Below are 21352 nucleotides of genomic sequence, written 5' to 3'. Positions count from 1 at the left end.
CAATTGTTCTATATTCAAAAATCAAGCTATACAATTAAAAAATTATCTGATGGAATTGAGGCATCACAAGGGCACTTTGTAGATTGTGTATGTTGTAGATTGTGGGAGCAAAGTGTTTTACTGAAATAAAGGTAAGAAAATGATTGCACTAGCTACAAAAGCTGAAATTGTGTTTTATCTCAAAACAACTTTCATTTTGATAAGAGTGATGTTAGATATTTTTTCCACACCATTTACCTAGCTCTTCTCTTTATTCAATTATTTTGCAGTGATAAGTCAAATACCGTTTAGTTTACTAAGGTTTGTATGTTACCATTTGTTGAAATCAAAAGTGATTTATAGCATGCAAAAAAACATTTCTGTGTACTAAGTCTAATTAATTGTATTTATAGCAGACAGTAAATATTTCTTTCTTTCTTTTTTTTGAGACAGAGTTTCACTCTTGTTGCCCACGCTGGAGTGCAATGGTGTGATCTCAGCTCACCACAACCTCCACCTCTTGGGTTCAAGCAATTCTCCTGCCTCAGCCTCTCGAATAGCTGGGATTACAGGCATGTGTCACCATGCCTGGCTAGTTTTCTAGTTTTAGTAGAGACAGGATTTCTCTTTGTTGGCCAGGATGATCTCAAATTCCTGACCACAGGTGATCCGCCTGCCTCGGCCTCCCAAAATGCTGGATTACTGGCGTGAGCCACCACGCCCGGCCAGTAAATATTTCTTTACATACTAATTATACTTTAGCTATTATACCTGAAAACAGAGAGATTGCTTTAAATAGCACAGCAACAAAAGACATTGTTAATGATGTTAGACATGGAACTCACCACATCCATTTTCTGGAAAGATATGAAAAACAAGTGTTTTTATGTTAAAGAAATGATTTGAATTTATACATATATGCATGTGTATGTGCATATACACATATACCTGTAAGCATGTGTATGTATCTAGAGCCTACTTCAATTTTACCTAATAAGCCAATTCCCACTTTTAAAAAATTATGTACATTTTCTAGAGATAGCAATGTATTGGATTATTTAATCTATCTATAAAGTCCAAGCCTTTTTCCAAAGATGTTTGTGGTAAGTGATTAAATACCAGTGTTCAATTTGAAGCAGTCACAAATATTGGTTGGCAGCTTGTGAGCAGATGCATTTTTCTTCCTGAGGAGGTTATTCTGTGCACCTCAAACACATTGGACATCAGGCCTATTGAGAAATCATCATTGTAAGCAGAGTGGATTTAACAGTAGCTTTCTCACAGGTTTATGTGTTTAATTAGCTGACAGAACAGATGAAACAGTAGGAGCTGAAGACTTGCAAGAGAAAATAACATGAAAGTGTAGTATAGTTCTTATTGTGTCAAACATTATTAATAACAAAAATGAAGAAGAGAATTAACTGTAACTTTTTGTATTTTAAAGAATCCAAATTTCATGATTCACCTGGTTATAATAAATTGCAGATTCCATAAACCACTCACTGGATAATAAAATTGCCCCAGTTTCAGTAAGTATATCTGAGTTCAGGTCAGTGAAGACAATTTGAAAAATAGGGATAAGGTCCTGGAGGTGGTGAATGAAACTGAGATTAATGTAGTTTAATGCTAGCTCTCATTCTATATTTTTAATAGATAAATGAGAGCTCAGAAAATAGTTTTCACATGTCACGTGCTTTGTTGTGTCCCAGATATTACATATTTCATCTTTTAATACAATTCTCCTGTATTTTAAGAATATACACACTCAAGATAATGCTTTTATGTATATATATTATTATAGGAAATATCCACACAAATATGTAATAGTAATAGCTTATGTAGACTATTAAAGCATGGAAATTCTTTTTAGTTAATACCTTTATAGCTTTACTACCAGAAAAAAACTGTGTTACAACAAAATCTTATTTAACAAAATGTTTTAACTGCTTTAAGTTCTGAGTTCACCACTGCATTTTACGTGGAGGTAATCAATAACATTAAAAGTGAGCTTTCTCAAATTCAGAACCTATTTAAACATCTTGGTGTTCTAGCACTTTGATTTGGTTTAAGCCATGTGGGAGTTTAATTTCTTTTCCCGATTTTGCTTTTTTGTATTTTGTAGAGACAGTGGCCTTTCTATGTTGCCCAGGCTGGTCTCGAATTCCTGGCCTCAAGCAATCCTCCTATTTCAGCCTCCCAAAGTGCTGGGATTATAGGCATGAGTCACCACACCCAGACAGATTTTTCTAAAAAGGAAAAATAAGAGAAAAAGAGAATGTTCTTATTTTAGGAGGAAAAAATGGATTTGAAGAGATTACAACAAAGATTCTAGGGATTTTTAGACATCAAATAACTCACAAAATAAAATTTTTGAAGTACGAAGTGCAAATAATTCTAAAATATCTAAATTCAGACATGACTGGCTTTAATATTGCTATAAAGCATATGACAGCTGTTGTAGGATCAAAAGCTGGTGGTGAATGAGCAAACCTTTTCCAAAGCCCAAATAATAACTCCAGACTAAATTATATTAGCTGTTCCTTAAGAGGGTCAAATCATGCATTTGGGTTATCTGCCTCATACTTTCTTGTACCTGTAGTGAGACGAGCAAGTCTCATTGTCCATGAGGTTTTCATAGTTTGGACATCTTGACTTTGCTTGATCTGGAACCCTGAGGCCCCCAGACCTATCTTAGGTAAGTACTCACAAAGAGTGGCCAAAACTTCTTCATCAAGGAAACTTGTCAGTAGCCCTTACAGGCCTGGAGATGCTGATCCACTAATGAAGACCCAAGGGTGGATTTGAACACTTAGAGCCAGAGGCAGCCATGTCTATCCTTTGGGTGAGAAGGGTTATTTGAGGGAAAAATGAATATTCTAAGATCAGCCCTATTCAGACCAGGTCACCTGCACTCACATGGCATCACAAATCTAGAGTTTCCAGAATCAATGTGGGAACCTGGCATATAGACCTGTTGCATGTACCAATTACTATTCATGCCTTGGTATTAGAAATGGTTACATCATTAATTTCCCTTTTGAATTAATTTGAGGTAAAGATAGCACACACATTTTATTAACATTCTGAACATCCTCGAAAATTGGATAAAAGCTAAAGCACAAAGACCTGGGTGTTGGGGATTCCCTGAATCCTAGGATAAGGATCTTTGTCAACAGATGGCTGCCACTGTTACTTTAGCTTTGTCTCTAGAAATATGTTTGGGTTGGTTTATCCCAGTCTCTTGAGATTAAGTCACTTTTGAAACATGGCAAAAATTGGCTTTTACTTTGGGAGTTACATTCTTCTCTGGTAACTTAGGCTTTTGGTGGGGAAAATCAATAATTTGAGGTCTACAATATTGTGATCAGTGCAATTTTTGATGAAGAAAAGATACAATAATAATAACAGCATTTACTGAGCCTGCTCTGACTGGAGCTTTATATGCATTACCTCATTTAATCTTCACAGGTCTCTGAAGTAGAACAATTATTGTTCCCATTTTACAGATCGGGTTAAATAACTGGCCCTAGGCCCTAGAGATAGAATAGTAAATCCAGGATCACAAACCATGAGGTCTTACTCCCAGGCCCTATGACCTCTGTAGCCACAATGGTGAATTCATCTTTCAATTCATCTTTTGGTTGTCTTAATCATCTTAATTCTGCTCCCCACATCTTATATGGGTAAAAACTCCTCGAGAGATGATATTTTATTTTATTTCATTTTGAGTCAGGGTCTCACTCTGTCACCCATGCTGCAGTGCAGTCATGTACTCACGGTTCACTGCATCCTCAACCTCCAAGCTCAGTTAATCCTCTTGCCTCAGCCCCCTGAGTAGCTGAAAACAGGTGTGTGTCACCATGTGCAGCTTATTTTTTAATTTTGTTTTGTTTTGTTTTTGAGATGGAGTTTCACTCTTGTTGCCCAGGCTGGAGTATAATGGTGCAATCTCAGCTCACCGCAACCTCCACCTCCTGGGTTCAAGAGATTCTCCTGCCTTAGCCTCCTGAGTAGCCGGGATTACAGGAACACACCACCATGCCCGGCTAATTTTGTATTTTTAGTAGAGACGGGTTTTCTCCATGTTGGTCAGGCTGGTCTTGAACTACTGGCCTTAGGTGATCCACCTGCCTCAGCCTCCCAAAGTACTGGGATTATAGGAGTGAGCCACTGCACCCGGCCTTTTAAAATTTTTTTTGTAGTGATGGCGTCTCACTATGTTGCCCAGGCTGGTCTTGAACTCCTGGGCTCAAGTGATCCTCCTCCTTCAGCCTCCCAAAATGCTGGGATTACAGGCATGAATCACCACACCCAGCCTCTACCTTTTATCTTTTGCCTTAATTCTCTGCTCTACTTTACTTATTTTCTGTTTTGATACCCTCCCTTGTATTCTTTTCTTATAACTTTCCAGAAAAGTCAAGAAAGGGAGACTAGATGGGGGAGTGGGAGTAGGGAGTTGCTGATGCTATTCAGATGACACCATCAGTGTTGGTCAGAAGGAGGCAGAGTCTGTTTTATTATTAATTATGGAAATTTTCATGGCTTTCTTTTTCTACTCCACTTCAAACCTCCACTAAATGGTAAAGGTATCAGCACCAAATCACTTCTAAATAACTGTTCATCTGTAACCTCTAACAGAGACAGGTCAGGGAGAGGTGAGAGTGAGTTGAAAGGACAGGTCTGAATATAGGACCAAAAAAACTGAGGAAAAATATAACTGCCACATGAATTAGATTTACCCAACTTTTTCTATTAAAGAAGTACTGCCTTCTATTTTCTCTTGCATTTTGTGGCTTGCTTAGGAACATTTGTAAGTATTTATGTTAAAATAAACTTTGATATAAATATAATGAAAAGACTTTTGAATTGAAAATTTAAAGTAACTTACCTAGAAGTTTAACACTATCTAGGAATTTCTATTACAGTAAATAACTAAACAACACCAGGCATGGTGGCTCACATTTTTAATCCCAGCACTTTGGGAGCCTGAGGCAGGAGGATTGCTTAAGCCCTGAAGCCTGAGACCAGCCTGGGCAACATAGTGAAACCCTATCTCTAAAAAAAAAAAAAAAAAAAAAAAAAAAAATAGCCACGTGTGGTGGCATGCCCCTGTGGTCCCAGCTACTCAGGAGGCTGAGGCAGCAGGATCACTTGAGCCCAGGAGTTTGAGGCTGCAGTGAGCTGTGATTACACCACTGGACTCTACCCTGTGCAAAAGAGTGAGACTCTGTCTTAACAAAAAATACTAAATAATAATTATTTGATCTTTGCAGCCAGTAAGGATCTCTTAATTTCTATTAAAAACAGACCAAATCGTTGAAAGGCAAGACAAAAGTGTGATTCAGAGTACAGAAAAATTAGTATTTGAATATCTTTATTTCAGAGAGCTGCTTTACTTTAATTAAAATAATTTAACACCATTAACATATTGTTCCTTAAAAGAGTCTCTACAATAAGTATTGTCTTTAGAGATGAGGAAAATAAAACAGGTTATGTTTTATTCAGGATCTCAAAGTAAGTCCATGAAAAATGCCACTTTTACACTAATAAAATTAAATGGATAATTGAGACAATCATTCATATAATAAAATCTCAAACTACCATTTTTGTACTAATTGCATTTTGTTCAAATGAAGGGTTTTTTTCCTTAAGAGAAAATTCTTAAAATAAGCATTTTTCTCTCTTTAAGAATGGCGTTATTTAATTATGGAACAAGTAAGAATGCTTTGGACTGACTGAGTCACATAACATTTCTTTTGGAATGTCTATTTAAAGTAATAAAAGAGAAAATCACAGCATGGCAGCTATGTTAATGACTGATACAAAAAATGTAGAGGACTTTTTTTGCACACAATTAACCTTCAAAAACAACTAGATTAAATAGCTGCATTTGATAACTATATTTTCCAAAATGTTTATAAAATGAATTCAAGTGCCCAGACTTGAAAATTATACTCCACATCATTTATAACAAACTAGTAAATTATTCTAAGATTTCTTTAATAAGAAACTAATTTTCAAAAAAAAATGGATGGAAATATAGAAATTAAATTTAAAAACTGGAAGTGTGAGTGTAAAGGCCACTGAGAATAAGATGTAAGTATACATTATCATTCACATAACCATACACAGCTCTTTTCTTTTTAAAGCCTCCCTTGTTCTTTTCTATTTTGGCATATGAACAATTCAAAGAAAAGGAATTCCATTTTCTTTCCTTCTCTCTGTCTCTCTCTCTTCCTTCTGCAGAGAGGGTGAATTGGCTTGAAACTACAAGATGAACTTGAACATGTCGTGACAGCTGTTGGGACTAGTATGTTGCTTTGATGATCCCCCACCAGCTGCTGGCATTTGGAGCATGGGGGCCAGAGAAGCTACAATGGGTATAGGCAACCTCTTGAATAAAAAAGAAACATTATAAACCAAACATGTTAATTGGCCAAAACATAAGATCCACATAAATAAATTAACTAGGAACTAAAGCAGGTGGACACTTAGCTCTTTTCTTTACCAGAGGTTTTCTGTTTAAGACTATTTGTAGAAATGTAATGATGAAGGGAATAAGCAAGACTCTGGTGACTGCAAAGCAAACATTGTTGTTAGTTTGGCATTTTGGAAAACATTCACTAAACCAATGTGGGACTGATTGACATAACTTGCTCTGAACTAGCCCAGGATAAAGAGTGATGGATGCAAACTTAGGTTCAGATGGCATTCCTAGCTATAGAGAATCAGGTCTTATTAGTATTTAGTCAATACAAATTGTTTGAGCCATTAATAGCTTAAGCTCTCGCCTTTTGGTCTAAGAATTTTCTGTATCACATAAAATTGCTCTGCTGTGCTTAAAAAAAATTATCTTACCTGAAAAAATATTTGACATCCGTAATTTTACTGCTAAGGTCCAGATTGGATGAAATGCAAACTTTATTTGAAAACCAGAAGATATAAAATTGTCCTTTTTATGTGTTGTAATTGGAAGCATTCATTAGATAGCACGAATAAACCAGAATCATAGAACTGCAGAAATAGGTTTTGTTTTCAAACAGAAATAATAATGTCCATCATTTCTGTTGTTGGCAATTATAAGCAGAAAAAGTTGTCTGTCTATTGATCATTTCAATAGAACACAAAGTAATGGTTACACTATTCATATACTGTCAAGAAACAGGCCTTTCATAAGAAACATCTTTTTCATTCTTGCTACATACCCCAGATATGAACCAGGTATTAATGGGAAATATCATTCTACATTATGCAGATGGTAAATGTTTCTCCAGAAAAGCACTAGTTTGATGTAAATTGCTCCCAAATGTCCAGGTGGTTAAAGTTATTATTGGTAACATAATCAATGATTGGCATATAAAGATGTGTTTTGTATCTCATTTCTTTAAAAAATAGCATCTACTTTTTAATAACCACTTTATATATTCAGACATGGAGGCATAAAGAGACAAAAAGCCAGTATTTGTAATGCTCAGAACTGCTTCAACAATTTTAGAAGTACAGACAAGATAATTGGGAATAAATTTCAAATCCACATATATGATTATGGTACTGGAATTATTCTTTTAAGACAGCCAGTTGACTTTTGCACATTAGGGTTCTTGCTACCACTCTGTTACTTTGTTGAGGCAGAGGTGGGATCAGAGTTTTCTAAGCTCTAAGTTTACTAACCTCTTACGTGTAGCTCTAATAAAAGCACAAGCCGCTACCAGCTTACCATCGAAGTAAGTACAGGCGGTCACCACCAGGATAACAATAGCAATAGCCAAACATGGCAGCCTTGGATGGCCTGAACTTAGCACTAGAGCTTTACCTGGACCAGGTTAGCCATGGGTGGACATTGACTCAGACACAAACCTGGAAACTATCTTCTCTGAGGATGTGGCACTGACCCAGATTTTCTCTGAAGTGACAACGGTTCTCTATTAATGACAGGAGCCCCGAATGGGGAATTCCACAGCAGGTGAGCATGGTACTAAAGAACAGGCAGGAGAAGTGTGCTGGGGAACTCTGAATCTTGGCATTTATCCTGGAAGTGTATACAGTCCATTTGCATAAGTAGATCACAACAATTATTCAAAGACTAACTTCAGTGCCAGGGAGCACTCATGAGAGCAAGGAAGAGTCTCATTCTGGGAGACCCATGCTATGGGCAATGATGGAAATAGTTGCCCAGACAGACAAAATAAGGCAGAAGTCACTTGGCCAAACTGAAGTAGAAGATCAGAACTGGGAGGGGTGAGTATGAGTGACTTCCAAGGGTGGTAGGCTAAAACATCACAAATCCAGTCCTCTCTCTGCCTCCTGGTTCAGATTGGCCTTCACAGCTAGACCAGGAAGAGTGGACACAATCAAATGACTCTCTCCTGAGAGAGGAAGGATTCAGAGTCTAGGAGTATGAAAAATACGCTCTGAATCACCCTGAGGGTGAGAAAGGAAAGATTTATCACCAGCTGAGTCTGCAAAAAGACTGTCTTGTTTCCAATTGACATCTCTTAATGGAGTCCCTTATAGACTAGGCAAGTTTCACTTCAGAGGAAATATTAATGGCAGACAAGGCCTCCAATAAAGTTCTCTAGCATTTTATGCAAAACTAATTTCACTAGTCATAAGGGGTAATTAAGAGGAAAAGCAAATGAAAGGATCTCTGCTCTGCAGAAATGTTAAATCTAATGCCTATGAAGAAAACAAGACTGAGGTCTCCTCCACGTGGAAGAAGTCAAGAGATAATCATAGATGTTAGATATTGGAGCTGAAAATCTCTTACTGTGCCCAATAATGACTTCGGGATTATAGTGTCAGAAGGATAGTCCAACTTAGGACTCTAAGAAGCAACCCAAAACTATGTATAATACAACAAGCCATATTTTAATACAGCCATGCTTAGCAGTTGCTAAACTATTGTAAAAACAAACAAACAAAATAAATCAAATTAATAAGGAAAAAGTAAAGGAAACCAAAAGCGGGGAGGTGGGATTGTAAGACCAGATCTATGAGAAGCATAGGAAACTGTTCTCTATACAACTAGCAGAAGAAACCAGAGAAAGTGGGTAACGTGTCATCTGCCAGCTCCAGGTAACTGCCCTGTATGCTTTTCTCAGGATAAGTCCAATATCCTAAGGAAAATATGTCTCTATATTCCCACTGTTTATTCTCTATTTTTTCTTAATCATTGAGTAAATGTGCCTGTTATTTTAGCATTTTAGGAAAGCAAAGATATATTCTAGTTTGTAAAGATAAGATCTAACTTATTTTGCTGTTGAACATTTTCTCAAACAACCCAGCATTCTTTTTCTAAGCTGAATGTGTCACAGTAATCTATAAATTGCAGTAATCAGAAATGGAGTTTTATAGGGGTATTTTTTCCGAGCCATTAAAAATATTCAGCATTAGATTCTTATTCAAGGCAAAAGAGAATAAAACGACCCAAGAGGCTGCAGCCAAATTTGGAGGAGGAACTCACTAAAAAATCTTTTGGTTAAGCAAAGCTTGGAAGAACTAATTTCTAAACCATGACATAATATACAAATAAAATACTATATACTAACTATACAGTGAAGGAATAATCTCAAATAATAATTCAGAGCAGCAAAAATTAAAGACAATGATTTTTCCTGACAGAGAAAACCAGTGATTGAGAATCTATAGCCAATCATAAAAATCTTCAGTAATGTACTATTATAAATAAGAAAAAAATCAGTTGACCATACAAAAAAGAGATACATTCATCAATCAGAGAGGAATGAAGTTTCCAGCATGTGTTTAATACAGTTTCTCATGGTCATGATGCTTATGATTTCACTTTGGGCATCCTCCAGAAATTCAAGGGAGTAGATATTTCTGAAACTTAAGAAATTATATCTGACTAACACTCTGAGAAGATACCATTGCTGAATTAAGACACAGAAACCTGAATTCATTTTAATCTTTTCTACTGAAATAATTAGTTCATAATGGCAAGACATACTGAGTTATGCACAAAGATTCTAGAGTACACCTACCTATATTGCTCAGCATGACTAGAAATGACCACATACTAAGTGTATCAGGTTGCCACTTCACTGTGATAAATTGCACTGACAAAACAGTAGCAGAATTTTCAAAAGGGAAAAATGTATTTCATAAATATATGGTATTTATTAACAATAGAGAAATTTAACTTTAAAAGAAAATCAGAAACTCAAAATTTGGCACATATATAATTATCCATAACTGAACATGTTATTGAATTTTTAAAGAAAATACTTATGTAAAACAACTGTTCTTAAAATCATCTGGTGACTGATCTTATTAGTTTACTTTTAGATGTAAATCCCTGATCAAGGGAAAAGTTTTTTTTCCAGCCCTTTGAAAACACTTAAGCACTGGTGTATATAATTACTTTAAAAACAAAATTTTAAATTTGGGTGCATGTATATTGATACATTAACTATTGTTCATATTATTATATTCTAAATTTGTGTGTTTTTAGACCCAATATTTTCCTGTAATTTGAACTTGCCTAGATTAAAAATAGAATTCAAGTGTGATGATTCAGTGTTATCAAAAAGATGTTAAATATTAGTCTGTATATTAAGATTTATCTTACATTTTACATATTGTGCATATAAACAAAGAGGCCTTGTTACTCAGACCCTATATCCAAAGGGACTGTGACCATGAAGTATACATTTTTAAGTTGTATTCCACGGAGAGGTGCAAGAGCCTGTGATCTTGTTAAAGGACAGGAAGATATTTGAGATATGACTATAGGGTGGTGTGACTGATTATTTTAATTAATATAACCTAACAGTCATCAAAATCAAATGCTTCAAAGGGGTCATCTTGCCAAATATTAAGTACTTGTTTTCTGATGCTACTATTGCTCTAACCAGCATTAAATGTCCTCTTTTGATAATTGCCTTTAGAAGCCACTGCTCACTCTTTCGAACATTTTTTATAATGGAAAATCTTTGTCCAATAAAGGAAGATCTGGCTTTGGGAAACTGATACAGAGTTAAGTCTGCTGAACATAGATATTTCTGCTCTGGATTTAAAAATGAAACATATAAAATAAGAATATTTTTCTAGCAGCTAATAAACGCCCTTTGAAGGCTATTCCAAAAGAAGAATTTGACAGATGTTTTAAGCATTGGAGAGGGAGGAGTCCAGTGGCTTCAATGAAACACGTGTATAGGCTTTCAGGATAGCTGCTGCAAAAAACATCATTTAACATGTCACATTGCTTCGTGGTCAGTTACTTTGTAAGGAGAAACAGAGAAAGAATGTTGCTAACTGGCTTTCCAATGAAATCTCCAATCGGAGCTAGGACTTTAACATATAGATTGAATGTAAGGTGATTTGACTTTACTTTTAAAATATTCCAAGAAGTAGTTTGGCATCTCAGAATATTCTCAACAGATGTTTACAATTTCTCTCTGCTGAATGAGGAAACTAATGCATGTACTTTGTGAATATGGGCTGAGATTGAACTGGAAGGCCTTATCAGGTCAAAAGAAAGCCTTCAGCTTCTGTACACAACCTTGGATATTCTGATGAAACTGTAAAGAGTCCTACTAATAGCTTATTTTCTCCCCAATGAATCTTTGAATCTTAGGGAAACTATAGCTGAGTACATCCAAATATTTTCACATGAAAGCTCCAGGGACAAAGTCAGGCAATCTCAAAATTTTACAAAGTACCAAGAGAGAAATATTGTAAAATCTCCCATCCTGGGAAATTAAATTTTCTTAAATGTTTCAAAAATAGAATTCAAGGAAAGTAACATTCTGAAAGCAGAGAACCCTAAGTAGAAAGCACTATATTGGATACTTAACCAACTTCAGGCATGACAAATGAAACATTCTGTCAAGATGTGGTCCACTGAATCTACCACAAATAAATGTTATCATTATGAATTAGACGTGTATGAAAAGAGATGATTAAAATTTTACTACAAATTCAATTTCAAAAATCCAATATCTATTTCATTGAACTAAAATTTATCTTACTAACAATGTTACTTCAACTTAAATGAGAAATAGCTTTTCCTCCCTACCCCCACCCACCACCAAAATAACATGAATATAACATATATCACTAGGGGAAAAATCATATTTAATCTAACTGAAACTATTTTGTGGACTAGATGCTAATAACATTTAGACTATTTTTGGCATGGTTATTCAATTTAAAACAAACATTCAATTTTTATTTTGATGTCATATGCATGAGACTGAGGTAATGTTTTCTTCAGGTAGAAGGAAATAACACTTTGTATATACATCACTATAATTTTGCAAGTTGGTCTTTCGAGAGGCTTTGGAAGATATAAAAGAAAAATCTCTATTTTTCTTTAACACTTTGATAAATGAGTAATTTCAGAAGAAAATGTGATTATGCATAGAGAATAAAATTCTATAAAATAGTCTGCTTTCTGTATTATCAACAGTTTGAAATAATTGGGTAAAATATGTGGCACTTTTCATTTTTACTCTATTTCTAATACAAATTGATTCAAATAATGTTATAGTATTGTTAAAAGTGCTAAATAAGTACCAATTTGGGTACAGTGCATTGTTGTTTTATGAATATCTAAACATACGAAATTCTAGTCAGAGATCATGGAAATTACTCAGAGATTATATGTAATTTGATCACAAAAGGCTACATAATAAAATAACAAAACAGAATTACATTTCAATTTTAAGGAAAGTGATAGGGATTAGAATTATTATTATATTTTAGTGTTAAAGCTAAAACAATTTCTAATTTGTTTGCAATTCTTAAATGTGATACAAGAGAAAGTACTCAGGAAAGACACCTCCAACTACATAACAGTGTGAAGATTTGGCCTACCTTAAGTATTATTAGTTCAGTGAGGGTACTGAACAAAATTTTGATATTTTTGTTACTACTATGCTTTATTATTTCTGGGCAATCTAAAGAAGAATTAACATTACAGCACTTTTTTAAAATGGAAAACAGAAAATGTACTTTATAGACACTAAAAAATTCTATTATTGCAACTTAGTTATTTTACATTCTAGTTACTTGCCTAAGATACAAGGCAGTCTAAAATTGCCAACTGATGACTGAATTAAAAATTTTTCATACAGTAAATGACTAACTCTCAGGTTTCTTTTAAGAGACACAAATCAGTAAAGGAACTGAACTAATCAGTACAAAATTAACAGGTGATACCCACTTGAAAAAATCAAATCTAATGAAAATAAAATTAGCAACAGATTCTGTTGTTTAATTATCTGTATCAGCTAGCATATACAAATGTTAAAACTTTTCAACTGAATTGCTGCATTTATAAAAATGTATGCACAACATCATATTTTAAAAGGAAACTATCATCCAACACATAACTTGGCAATTTTTTGTTAGTTAACTGTTCTACTCAAATTCGATATATTGATTTAAATATTTAAATACTTTATTTAAATCTGCATTCAAAGTATGACATTAGGAAGGTGTTGAAATAAAAATACAAAACAAAATTTATAAATTATAATATTTAATGCCATATGTTTAAAAATGTTGAAAGAATGTAATGTCTAAATTTAAAGTCTAAGCTAACAAATCTAGGAGACCCTACAAATGGGAAATATTGATTAACAATTAGGTAACATTTTGAGTACTTAAAAAAATAATTTAATAATAAAATCTAATTTATAAACGCAATTTAAATCTTTGAAAATTAAGTAAAAAAGTTATACAATATGAAGAGATGAAATTTTGCCTAAAACATAAAATAATTTAGTATTGTTTTTATTTTCTGTTTATTATATTCAACTTAAAAATTGTATTTCTTGTGTATATTTTGGAGAATCATTATTCAAGGTGGATTTTAACAAGAAAATAAAAACTTTTGCATTCATTCTTATGTTTTATATTTTTAGAGGAATATTATTGTTAATGCTTTATTTTCAAGTGGTTACTACTGGTTTTATCCAGTATGTAGGAAAGAGTTCACCAAGATGAATTTTTAAGTGTCTGTGTCTGTTTTGTATAAGCCTTGATTCCTATATTCTTCCAAGACAATTATGGTTTCTAGAGACTGTTTAAAAAGTCATTTTCAGTGAATATAATGCTGTTTCTACAAATAATTCTTTCTCTTGAACTAGAAATTATTTATCCTTAATATTAAACTAATAATTTTAGTGTCTGGCCCTTTTAACTATTATTGTTTTCAATAGCAACAACCCTAATTTACTTTTTCTTTTTTCTTTTTTTTTTTTTTTTTTTTTTTTTTTTGCCATGTAACTACCATTTCTGGCCAAAAAAAAAAAAAAAAAGTTTTTTTTACACCTGACTCTTTTCTCTCTCTTTTTCATCCTTTCCTCCCTCCTTTTCTTTCTTTCTTCCTTCTTTTCCTTTCCTTCCTTTTCCTTTCTTTTTTGTCTTCTTTTATTTTTGGAGGATAACGTTACTGAATCAAGTAGCTGTTTAGAAGGAGGAGCAAATGTTACTACCTGTAGTCAACTGGCAAGAAAAATGAAAACCTTTATCACATGAGAAGTATTTAAAGTAAACAGATTTACTCAGAGGAAGGCCTGAAAAAACATGGAGTAGAAGTTACAGTCTGGCACATAAACTTAAATCTTGTTTGGGAATTTTTTGGTGGAGTGTCTTTCTAAAATGCAGTCTGCTGATTTATTTATTTATTTTTTTAAAAAGGCTGACAGTTAATTAGCACAGAGTCTTATTACAGAAGTCTCCTCTAAAGCAGACATATTCAAGTTATACTGAGGTGATTGTCATAAAGGGGTTGTTTGCTGTGGCGCTCACAGATGGCAGAAAAGACAGCCCAGGAACGCAAACAGCCTGATAATCAAGATAGCTTTAAAATATGGGTGAGTTTTCAACTCTGATTCTGGCAGCAGTCTCTTTTCAAATATCTTGGGTTTTATGTCCAAGTGGTTTACTTTAAAGCAACGTTGTCATCAAAGGAGTCCCAGAGTCAAGAATAATTATGATAATTACCCAGAATTGCACCCCCCAATAATCATAATAATAATCCTGAATCTTAACCAAGTATAATATTGTTTGTGCAATACACTGCTACATTCAAAAAGATGAAGTGCTAGACAACTACGATTTATTCTTAACTGACAAAGTAGCTATAATTGTATGACTTTCTAGGATAATGGTTTAAACAAAAGTAAATAGTAAAAAAAAAAGTCCCCCCACCCTGCCCCCCCAGAAAAGATTGGAAAGCTTAGCTGTGTTTAGTGCCCATTGATGAAAGCAGTGTTCTCTGATCCATGCTGCTATTGTTGGTTTTAGTTTAGCTCCCTCTCAATCAATATCTAACAGGGCATGACTTAATAAGGTTTTATAATCTCCAAAAATGGTGGGGGGGAGGGTGGTTGTGGTATTGTCATTCATCAAAGGGGGCCTTTCAGGTTTCTTTGCTTTCACCTGCTGGGACCCATTTGGTCTCTTTCAAAGAGAATGCAATGACAAAATGAATGAGAAATGCTAGAATAAGAGTCCCTTATTCTACCCAATAGTATAATCAATGGGTACTTGTAATCCCTATTGTACCTCACAGAGGTAGTTGTAAGACAATTAAATCTCGCTTCTCAGGCAAATGATTTTGGTAGTTAACCTGAAACAGCCAACAATATTGAAGAGAATGAATGCATTTGAAGCAATGATGTAATGGGGTACTGCTTGGCCAGAAAAGCATGCATGTGTATTGATGTGCATATCTATATGTGTATGTTTATTTCAATACTCTATGTCCACAGTTTTCATGATTCATAGGTCCTTTGATATTACGTGGGTAAGTGGCAAGGATTTTAAACAATTTCATAATCTGCCCTTTTAATTTATATTTTAAAAGAACACAAAAATATTCTTATTTTTGCAGAATTATATACTCTAAACTGTAGTTTCATAAACAGAAAACATTTACATAGTTAACATCAGTTTGATGTGACAACCAATTTAGTTTTAATTTCATTTGCATCGGCTAAATTCAATTTCGCTTTCCCTCCTTACTGAATTGCTTGAATGTCAAAAGGAAGCTTGTAGTCTTTCGAAGAGATACTCATTTCAGCCTGCATTATTTGTTCACCTTCAGTTGTGTGGACTTCCTATTTTATTTCAAGTATAGTCTATCAGGATTCTCATGGTTTGTCCTTTTTAAGAAGGAATAAAAATGTGCCAAGTGACAAAATTGTGTAGCGCACACAAATTCTAAAAGATTCATGGAAAAAAAATTATACATTTGTTAGGAAGTCTTGTACTTATTGATAAATATTAAATACAAAATAAACGGAGCAAAGAGATTGCTGTATCAGAAACATAACATAAACATGCATTTTAGTTCAGAATAATTTAAAATTTTAATTGTTTAATAATTTGAAAATTAAAGGGCCCTGCCTTTAGTATAATTTAAATATACCTTTAATTTCTCATATCTCATTTATGTTGAAAATATCCATTTTCCTTTGCCAAAATTCTCTAAGAAGCCTCAGTTAATTATTATTTATATTTAGTCCAAGCTTTATTCCTGAGGCAAAATCCTACATTTAATTACACACACAAACATGTAATAAACATACTTTTATCTCTGGAGGTACACATTTTCTTCTCCACCTAAGGGGATTCTAATAAAGAGCTATTGATTTGGGAGATCTGTACTCCAAAAATACATTGACCCAAACATACAGATATCACAGATGTATGCTGTGCACAAAGTGTGTATGTCTTTTCATTAAGTTATGCAGACATGTAGCTTCCTTATATGTAAATAAAATCGCTCTCCATTGATGCTTGTACACCTAATTCTCTCAATTATCCTTAAATATTGAAAAGCAACTTTCAGGGAACTAGGCATGTTGCCCTATATGACTTCCAAGGCAGAAATATTGGTATCGGAATTCTACATACTTGTAGATTATTTTTTAAACCTGTTATTTTTCTATGTTTAGATCATAGAGGAATAGAAAAATCCCTTAGAAAAATAAATTGACCTAAAAAAAGATGTGTTTGCTCCGAATGCTGAGTTTAGTGAAGAGTGATGCACCTGACTCCTCTGGATACTTCCAAATGAGTCTGGCTAATTGGGGTAACCTAAGCCAATGGCCATTTGAAAGACTCGAGGTCAGGTGTTTTATTGCTGGGATAGTATTCAAAAAAATGACTGTCAGGGGTGAACGAAGAATTATGTCAAGAGCATTCAGCATTACTGCCACTAAAAAGAGAGGAGGGGAAAAACATTGTGAAGAAAAACATGTCATTTTCTAAATGAGCTAGGGGAGGAGGATAGGGCAATAATGTGGCCTTCAGCTGTTGGTTTATTAGGTTTCCATTCCCATGATCCACATCTGCGTTAGGCAGAAATAGTTTTACTTTTAATACAATTGCACTCTACTACTTTGCTTTCTTATGGAGTAAAAAATAGCTGTGAAAAACGTGCAAATGAGGTTTGTTCTGTGTGGCTGTTGTTTCCCTATCTCCTATGCTATTTTCCTGGTTCTATAGCAAATCTTAGCATTGTTGTCTGATTTGCCATGGAACAGTGAACATTGCTTTTCCTAGCCAAATCATCCAGTGTTAAATGCTATGTGATACAGATCAATAGGGCATCTACAGCTGTACAAAAAGGGCAATGTTGTTTCTATTAACAATTTTGAAAGAGAGTGTGGCCTAGTGGTTAAAGGATTAAATAGGTTGTTGAGGTTTTTGATGTCTTGAATTCTAATTCTACCTAAGCCTTTGGATTCCTGATGAAGTTGTTAGCAGATTTTTTTCATTTTGATCTGCACCAATATACTCATGGGTTATATACTTGGGGATATTATTATTGTGTGATCATTCAATAAATAATAAAAATCTGGAGGACTGATGAAGATTGGAAAAACATCTTGATGACTTCAAAAAAAATGTTGCTTTAAATATTCAATCAGATTAATTACTAATGTTATTTTTCACATAATGGTTTTGTGTTTCAGGCTGTTCCTCCATCTCGCCTGAGCCCATTTAGCAAACTGGGGTAAGGGCTTGTATTGGTTCTAGTTATCTGGATTTTCCTTAAGGAACAGGATACGTTTTGTTTCCTGTAAAGACATAACTTGTCAGTGGCATTTTAATGAACTGTAATGTAGAAAAAGTGGTTGGCTTTTTGGTGCCATTGCCAACCCCAGGTGCAAATGGTTGTTTTTGAGGATTAGCAATATACATCCCTCTTTATTTCATTTTGGGGCAGAGGCCTGTATGAGTCTGTGTGTGTGTGGTTATGTGTGCACATATGTCTATGTGAGAGAAAGAGAGAAAGAAACCGAGACAGAAGAGTTTATAGAATTGTATGTTGCTGTGGTTAACTAAAGCTAACCTTTGAAAGTAGTATAGGCCCTCCTATCGTATTTCCTGCAGAATCAGATTTCTGGATTCCAGATGATCTGAATTCTGTCTTCCTTCCTCCTTTTCCCTCTGTCTGTCTCTGTTTCTCTGTCTCTGTCTCACTTTTCTCTGTTTCTCTTTCTCTATTTCATTCTTTCTCATTCTCCCCCATCCCCAGTTCATTTCAGAAGAATGTTACATGTTTATAAACAATTCACTCAAGCAGCAAAGAGAAGAGAAGGAGGAAAGAGACATATTATTCTTGGAACAAAGACACATATTATCTTTAGTGTAATCAAATAATAGAAGTCCAACATTAATTATATTCAAATATCTGCCATTTGGTTTTAGTGCACTTTATTTTATTTTACTTTTTTATTTTATGTGTTTAATCTTGTACTCCATAAAAGTGGGAATGCAGCCCTTTGTAACTGGAGACTGGTGGAAAACTAAGCGTTCTGAGGCTGATGAGACTGCACATGGAAATGGAGATTGTGGCTATCACTTTGGTCTTATTGGTGACCCAGCCTTGGTCACAGATTAAATACTTAGGGCAGTGCATTGTGGGAAGACATTTGTGAAAACACTTGGAAAACTAGAATTAATATACTATGTTGATAAAGTTTTCTTGATTTTTGGAATAGTTGACTTAAGTTTGTGTGAAGGAATTAAATGAAATAGTCAACAATCAAGTATAATGTCTTCCCCAAATCAATGGGGGATTTAAAAAAACCATTTCTTCTATATTACTCATATTAAAGAGATATTAATTTCAGTCACATTAAGATGTTATATGCTTTCTCTGGCTTTCTTTAAAACCTCCTTATTTTCCTAATTTGTTCCAACAAGATTTTTATTTTAAAAGATGTAATTCAAACATGATATTCTGGTCTACAAAAGGGTAATTTTGCAGTTTTTAAAAGAAAGTACACTTATTTTATTAACAGTTTCCAAATTATTGGTGGGTCTCTTTTTAGTTTTTCTTAAAAATATACAATGACTTTGTAGAATCTTCACTACAGCATGAAACAAAAAATTTCTAGGTGAGAAAAACTTAAGAGCTTATTTCTGTATAATCACAACTCTGCTATTTAATGTTATTTATTATCACAGGGATCAATACTTAATTAGCTTAATGCTTAAATATTCAGCTATTTGAACATTTAATTATTAAATTATTTGATATTCAATTAACCTGGACAAATAAGCCAATCAATATTAAAAGACTTTCTCCGAACAACAAAATAAAACAAACGTTTTGTTATTTAAGTGAGATTCTGATCAATAGATTTTCTTTTATATTTTATGAATTCCGACATTACAGAGAACTAATTGACAAATGAGAATACAATGCATTACTAATAATTTCAAATACTAGTTACATCTGCTTGGTGTGACTCCAAATATAATTTGAATTTGAATTTTTCTGCTTCGCCTACTGCATCTACAAAAGCATTTACAACATTTTCTATTCTTTTTTCTCTGGTTGTTTGCATCTCTGGTTGTGTCGCAAATTTTATCAAACTCTTTGGACATACAAATACAAAAAGAACCAAAAAAGATTAGTCTATTTCACTTCTGCCCTATCACTTCTCTGCCATGAACACTTGAAAGTGTCCTGTTTACTCATTTTATGGAGTTCAGTCATTTATTCACATGGAAGTGCAAATTTAAAAAAAAATAAGTTTTAAAAAGGGTTTTTATTGAAATATTTCATTATAATCCGTTATGGAGGCAATACTCCTCTCAGCATCAGTGAGAAGCTATTGGTTTTCTGCAAGTGATCAAACAGAACTGAGTGGGCAGCTTTAGAGCACATATATACACTCCCTGGTGGATTTTCAAGCACAAAGTAACTTAATGTCCCACTGATGTTAAGCAGTCAGTTGTCACGAAAAAGCTTAGTGGCCGTTCACAACCAGCTAAAATTATATTTCTAGCAATTGTTTTAGATCTGTATATAGAATAATTGACTTCAAAATGATTAAAGTATTTGTCTTGTTTTACATTCCTTATGATCAATTGACTAACCTGTTACTATGAATTACATAGAATGTCTAAGAGGAAAAAAAATCAGCTGTGCACACATGGAGCTCCTATTTCAAGATATCTTTATCTATCTGTCTGCTTTATAGCAACACGTTGTATAATAATAGTCATGGATTTAGGGAGCTTATATCCAAAGTGAAGATTTTCATGATATCAAAGATTAGAACCAATTCAAACATAATCCAAATGACTCATTTCATCTATTAATATGACAAATTAACATGTTCTTATAAACCAGAACTACACAGGGTAAAAACAAAAATGTAACACTATGAAGCAAGTTTTGCCAAGTTGCCCATTTGTTCTCCAATATTTGCATTTTAAAGAGGTATAACTACATTATTGAATTCTTATTTTGACAAATATTTTAGTTGAATGCCCTCATAAAATCTCCGGTTTTCATAAATTCATGGATATTAGGGCTAAAAGTGTACATTAAAAATGATACATCTTGCTCTGAGACACTATACAGGAAAAAAATAACTTTTCAGAGGTGGATAAAAACTGAAAAAAAATGCTTTTAAAAATCTTTCAGTTTTTGAACTGGTATGATATTATACCAAAACTGTAAAACCCATTATACGTATAAACATAACTATATCAGTAGCATATGAAGTAAATTATGCACTTCAGTTCGCCAATGTGTAATATCATTTTTGATCATATGTAAATTTGCTATAAGAGGTTTTAAAAGGAATCTTTAAAAATATACCCCAAACTACAACAGATTTGTCATTCATGCACTGCTGAGCATAGAGGCCTAATTTTACCTTTTTGCTATTATTTTAAATTAAGGCACTTATCTGAAAGATCAAAACAGCTTTTACATTGGACACTTTGTGAAGGGAGATAGTGATAATATCTGGAGGAATATGGTAATTAGTCCTGTTGTGGAGGCACAGAGAGATGCCTCATGCATGTATTGGGAATCTGCAAAGACCAAATATAAAAGTATATCTCAAAGTTGGGAGGGTAGATTAGA

The 21352-nt window shown here is 33.8% G+C and overlaps 4 annotated features.

Moving 5' to 3' along the window:
- Nucleotides 14380–16120: an enhancer, noted in NCBI's record as "VISTA enhancer hs853". NCBI's record gives its function as "enhancer in: forebrain[7/7]" and the evidence as "EXISTENCE:transgenic organism evidence [ECO:0001131][PMID:17130149]".
- Nucleotides 14380–16228: a biological region, named in NCBI's record as "VISTA enhancer hs853".
- Nucleotides 14735–15481: an enhancer, noted in NCBI's record as "OCT4-NANOG hESC enhancer chr5:87083651-87084397 (GRCh37/hg19 assembly coordinates)". NCBI's record gives its function as "activates a minimal SCP1, AML or CMV promoter by ChIP-STARR-seq in primed H9 embryonic stem cells {active_cell/tissue: H9 hESC(primed)}" and the evidence as "EXISTENCE:reporter gene assay evidence [ECO:0000049][PMID:30033119]".
- Nucleotides 15482–16228: an enhancer, noted in NCBI's record as "OCT4-NANOG hESC enhancer chr5:87082904-87083650 (GRCh37/hg19 assembly coordinates)". NCBI's record gives its function as "activates a minimal SCP1, AML or CMV promoter by ChIP-STARR-seq in naive and primed H9 embryonic stem cells {active_cell/tissue: H9 hESC(naive and primed)}" and the evidence as "EXISTENCE:reporter gene assay evidence [ECO:0000049][PMID:30033119]".

Source organism: Homo sapiens, chromosome 5 (assembly GCF_000001405.40).
Source record: "Homo sapiens chromosome 5, GRCh38.p14 Primary Assembly".
NCBI classification, from domain to species: Eukaryota; Metazoa; Chordata; class Mammalia; order Primates; family Hominidae; genus Homo; species Homo sapiens.
This window is presented reverse-complemented; position numbering and strand designations above follow the sequence as displayed.